This window comes from Homo sapiens, chromosome 12 (assembly GCF_000001405.40).
Source record: "Homo sapiens chromosome 12, GRCh38.p14 Primary Assembly".
Taxonomy (NCBI): Eukaryota; Metazoa; Chordata; class Mammalia; order Primates; family Hominidae; genus Homo; species Homo sapiens.
In genome coordinates, this window is record NC_000012.12 from 30,051,105 (window position 1) to 30,057,104 (window position 6,000).

At 41.8% G+C, this 6,000-nt stretch overlaps 1 long non-coding RNA gene across 4 annotated transcripts in view; it reads right to left on the minus strand.

The window, feature by feature from the left end:
• Window positions 1–392, minus strand: part of LOC105369715 (uncharacterized) — a 182,759-nt gene extending 182,367 nt beyond the window's left edge. For all 4 annotated transcript variants that reach the window (XR_931474.1, XR_001749060.1, XR_001749061.1 and 1 more), the window contains exon 1: window positions 337–392. This is a non-coding gene — a long non-coding RNA (uncharacterized LOC105369715). The remainder of the gene's footprint in view (window positions 1–336) is intronic.
• Window positions 393–6,000: the final 5,608 nt, after the last annotated feature.

Consider the following 6,000-nt stretch of genomic DNA (forward strand, 5'->3'; position numbering starts at 1 on the left):
GTTAGAAAGATACAATACCTAGGCTCAAGGAGCTTACAGTCTACTAAGACTTAAAGCAGGGGCTTGGCAAATTTTTTTCTGTAAAGGGCCAGAGAGTAAATATTTTAGGCTTTGCAGGCCACATGGTCTCTGTCGCGATTCCTCAGCTCTGCTGCTGCGTCGTGAAAGCAGCCATAGATAATATGTAAATGAATGAGCATGTCTGTATTCCAACAGAACTTCATTTATGGATACTAATGTCTGGATTTTATACAGTTCTCACATGTCATGAAATATTATCCTTCTCTAGAGTTTTTCAACCATTTAAAAATGTAAAAACAATTTTGGGGGCCTTACAAAAAGACATGGGGGCCAGATGTGTCCTGTGAGCAGTTGTTTCTGGTAGAGTGAAGCCAGTAAAGCAGTCACAAAGAAAATATGAGGGTTCGAGTCTCTGTGACATCATCAATAGAAAATGGAAAGTCAGGGGAAAGCTTTTTTCCAAGGAAAAGTGGTGAATGCTTTCTCAGTAAATAGTATTTCCTGTCATTTCCTATCCTGTTGTTTTCCTACAAAATAGCACAAGCCATTTCTTATATTTCTCTAGAGCAGAAACAGATCCACCCACTTAAGCAAATCTATTCCATCTCCTCATCCACACTATATTTCAAAAATATAACACAGTATTAAGGGAGGTCCTTATGTTCTTTCCCCATGGATCCAATTGTATCCATTTATTTAGATACAAAAGACAACGTTTTCAATATTAAAAAAGGCAGAACATCTTCCATCAAGCATATACCACACTACTTACATTCTCCCTCAATCACAAGGAGGCGGAGATTGGCCATGTTACACACAACGTTCGCGTCTGTCTGTAAAACTGCTGAATTGTGTTGTCTACTGCTGGCTCCAACATTTTGCAGGATCATAATTAACTCAAGATTTTTGTTTGTTTGTTTTTCATCTGAGCTTCCCACTGTTAAGTGTCTAAGAGTCCAGTTTTTAAAGATTAATATTCACAGAAATATAAATGCTGCTACTCTGACAGAGCAAGTGACATATGATAAGAAAGTTCAGGCAAGAAGTCCTGGAAGCAACAGAGAAGCAGCAGTTGCTAGGAGTAAAAGAAAGGATGTTCCCAGAAAAGGAAGAAGCTCATGAAACAGCTTTGAGCAGGATGGACCTTGGTATATTTGGGACACTGAAAATAATTTAGGATGGATAGTGCCTAGTGGTAAAGAGGAAGGGCAAGGGAGGAGTTGTGTCAAGAGATGAGCCTGAAAAGATCAGCAAAGGCCAGATTACAATCACATACCTTGCCAAGAAATATTAATCTCTACCCTAAAGGTTACATGAAATCACTTAGTATTTTAAGCCAATTAGAAAAATCAAGTGGCAGCAGTGTGGAGATGGATCTGCAGAGGGACAAGAGCTGGGGCAGGGAGACCAGTTAGGAAGATATTTGCAGTAATCCAGGTGAGACAGGATGAGGGCCTTCACTAAGGTGTTGGCAGTGGGGAAGGGGATAAGGGGTGAAATTCTAGAGAAATTAAAAAATCAAAACTATAGGTCCCGGTGATTGCTTGACTGTGGCAGGTGTGAAGAAGTGACAGTAGTCAACATGATTGCCAGGTATTTTGGCCTGGACAAGTAGTAAGATGATGGAACCCTGGCGGCTTCTGTAGGCAGGAGGAAGTTGTTCAGAGACAGCAGTTATTCCTTGCAGGTTGTTAATTTGTAGACTGCCTTTCACTTTTGCTCTAACCAAAATACAATGACTCCTTTATCCTTTAACTTTTCATTACGGTTTTCTACACAACTGGAAAGTAGACACACTTATAATTCAATGTCATGTCATTCAATTAATCAGCATGCTCTATTCACTACAGCTTGGAAAAGTTATTGATCAAACATGTGGAAATGCTGACAGCCTACAGTTGGCTGCTTGAGATAAAACAGAAATGTGAAAGATGAAATGATTCTTGTCACTAGCATATTTTGAATAATTGTTCTTGATTAGTAGTGGTCCCCTGTGTGGTTCGACAGGCTAACTGATCAAAATTAAGAACGCAAGTTCCAAAAGTCATCCAAACTTTTGGGAACATAAACTCCATCTAAGTTATGCTGTTAACTCTTTTTAGGAAGTACTCATGCTGCTGGTCTTCCGAGTGTCCCACTTATAAGTGAGCAGTGAGATCAGTTATCAACTCAGCACGACTTCAAAGGGTCAGGAAGATGCTCTTAGAGTAACATTAATCTATCTCACTGGAGGAAGAGAGAATCTTTTCTGCTTAATTAAAAGCTGTAGCATTAACTTAAAAGTTAGGATGTGATAGTAGAATGATTTCAAATTTTATAGCCAGGATAGCAAAGTTCAAGGACTGACAATGCTATATGACTAACAGCAAGTCACTGAACCTCTTGGACTAAGTTTGCTCATTTGTAAATTTGGAAACCATTTGCCCATCCCACTAAACACCCAAGGGCTTTGCAAGGTTAAAAAATAGGTAACAGTTGGGAAAGCACTCTACACTTGTAGAATTCCTATGTGTATACAAATTATCACAATTACTATTGCCATTATTATTATCACAACTCTTTTGGTTAAGTCCTATAGTATGGAGAATTATTCTAGAATAATGCATCTGAGATGAACATGAGGGAAAGATGAATTGGGGTGAAGGACACTCTTTGCCTTCTCACATAAACATGACTCAATAGTTTCCCCCAGTCTCCCAGTTCAGCTAAGGCAAAAGAAAGAAAGTTTTGAAAAGAATAGACAAACAGGTGACAAGCTACTTCCTCCTAGCTAAGTGCAAAAAAAGAGAAAATCCAAGAAAGAAGGAAATCCAGAGAGAAACACACAAGATGATACAACTAGAAACAGGAAAACACAGCAACAGCAGCAAATGTCAACAAGCTACCCTAGAACACAAGTTAGATTTTTGAAAACCCTTGTTTTAGTAGTAGGGCAACTACTACAGGGACAAAAAAAAAAAACTAGAAAAACACCGATCACCTGAAAATGACTTTACATGATTGTAGAGTAATTTACTCTGAATACTTAAAAGATTACCAAAACAGATTACAAAAAACGCTATAAAAACTTGTGTGAAATTTATAAATCCTATAAAAGATGTCACATATCAGAGCAGTCCAGTAGGAGCAAAACCAACATCCTGAAGGAAGAAATTATGACGGTAAAAACAGACTAACAGAGCAAGTGAAAGCACAGCTAAGTTACACAGCTAATGACAGAGAAAAAGAAATCACAGAACTCAGGAACAAACCAACAAAATCCAAACTGAGAATAATCAGAGTACCAAAAGACATAGAAATGCAAGCAAATTGTCAACCTTTCACAGGTAGTGAATTAAATATAATCTTATAGAACGTCAAGACATCAAATTTTATAGAACGTCAAGACATCAAATTCTAATACGGAGATCTTGAAGGAATATGAAAATCCATTTGGGGACAATCCTCATTGAAATGCATCCCAGCACCTACTTGTCACATTTTAAAAGTTTGAAACAAAAGAGCAGAATAATATGAGGTCTTGAGAAGAAAGGAGAGAAAGATGAAGATGTAATTAATGGGATATTTTGGATTGGTTTCTATAGAATGCATTGCCTGAGTACATACATTTAGAGAGACTGCTATAGAGAAGTCAATGGATAAAATTTTCATGAGAGCCCTCTGCTGAGAAATACTATTACTTTTGTTTGTTTGTTTTTTGACAGAGTCTCGCTCTGTTGCCAGGCTGGAGTGCAGTGGCACCATCTTGGCTCACTGCAATCTCTGCCTCCTGGGTTCAAGTAATTCTCCTGCCTCAGCCTCCCAAGTAATAGGGATTACCAGCGTGTGCCACCACACCCAGCTAATTTTGTATTTTTAGTAGAGAAGAGGTTTCACCACGTTGGCCAGGATGGTCTCAATCTCCTGACCTCGTGATCTGCCCATCTCAGCCTCCCAAAGTCCTGGGATTACAGGCATGAGCCACGACACCCAGTTGAAATGCTATTACTTTTATAAAGTGTGTATGTCTGTATTCTTGGGAGTTAAAAGTAAGGTCTGGCAAATGAATGACCCGAAGTATTAATTTTGCCATAATTTCACAAAAGCAATAATATTTTTTCAGGCCACCAGATGAGAAGAAATCATAACCAAATTTATTTGGCAGCTAAGATGTCACAGTTTGGAAAGCAGTGAGTCAGAGATCAAAGAACAGCAAGGCAGGCACTTCCTTACTGATGGTGTGTCTGGAATTGGTTCCTTCCAGTGGGTTCTTGGTCTCACTGACTTCAAGAATGAAGCCGCAGACCCTCGCGCTGAGTGTTACAGCTCTTAAAGATGGTGTGTCCGGAGTTTGTTCCTTCAGATGTTTAGATGTGTCCGGAGTTTCTTCCTTCCAGTGGGTTCGTGGTCTCACTGACTTCAGGAGTGAAGCTGCAGACCTTCGCAGTGAATATTACAGCTCTTAAAGGTGGTGCGTCCAGAGTTGTTTGTTCCTCCCCATGAGCTGGTGGCCTCGCTGACTTCAGGAATGAAGCCACAGACCCTCACGGTGAGTGTTACAGCTCATAAAGTTAGTACGGACCCAAAGAGTGAGCCGCAGCAAGATTTATTGTGAAGAGCAAAAGAACTAAGCTTCCACCATGCGGAAGGGGACCAGAGTGAGTTGCCCACTGTTGGCTTGGGTGGCCAGCTTTTATTCCCTTATTTGGCCCCACCCATGTCCTACTGATTGGTCCATTTTACAGAGTGCTGATTGGTCCATTTTACAGAGCGTTGCTGGTGCATTTACAATCCTTTAGCTAGACACAGAGCGCTGACTGGTGCGTTTTTACGGAGTGGTGATTGGTGCATTTACAATCCTTTAGCTAGACACAGTGCTGATTGGTGAGTTTTTAGAGTGCTGACTGGTGCATTTACAATTCTCTAGCTGGACAGAAAAGTTCTCCAAGTCCCTACTCGACCCAGGAAGTCCAGCTTGTCAGGCCTCTGAGCCCAAGCTAAGCCATCATATCCCCTGTGACCTGCACATACGCATCCAGATGGCCAGTTCCTGCCTTAACTGATGACATTCCACCACAAAAGGAGTGAAAATGGCCTGTTCCTGCCTTAACTGATGACATTATCTTGTGAAATTCCTTCTCCTAGCTCATCCTGGCTCAGAAGCTCCCCTACTGAGTACCTTGTGACCCCCACTCCTTCCCGCCAGAGAACAACCCCCTTTTGACTATAATTTTCCTTTACCTACCCAAATCTTATAAAACCGCCCCATCCCTATCTCCCTTCACTGACTCTCTTTTTGGACTCAGCCCGCCTGCCCCCAGGTGATTAAAAAGCTTTATTCCTCACACAAAGCCTGTTTGGTGGTCTCTTCACACGAACACGAGTGAAATTTGGTGCTATGACTTGGATCGGGGGACCTCCCTTGGGAGAGCAATCCCCTGTCCTCCTGCTCTTTGTTCCATGAGAAAGATCCACCTACGACCTCTGGTCCTCAGACCAACCAGCCCAAGGAACATCTCACCAACTTTAAATCTGGTAAGCGGCTTCTTTTTACTCTCTTCTCCAACCTCTCTCACTATCCCTCAACCGCTTTCTCCTTTCATTCTTGGCACCACACTTCAATCTCTCCCTTCTCTTAATTTCTGTTCCTTTCCTTTTCTGGTAGAGATGAAGGAGACTCATTTTATCCATGGACCCAAAACTCTGGCACCAGTCACAGACTCGAAGACAGTCTTCTCTTGGTGTTTAATCATGTGGGGACGCCTGCCTGATTATTTACCCACGTTTCAGAGGTGTCTGACCACATGGGGACGCCTGCCTTGGTCCTGCACCCTTAGTGGCAAGTACCACTTTTCTGGGGGGCAAGAACCCCTCCAACCCCTTCTCCTTCACCCTTAGTGGCAAGTACCACTTTTCTGGTGGGCAAGAACCCCCCAACCCCTTCTCCCTCACCCTTAGCAGCAAGTACTGCTTTTCTGGGGGACAAGAACCCCCCAACCC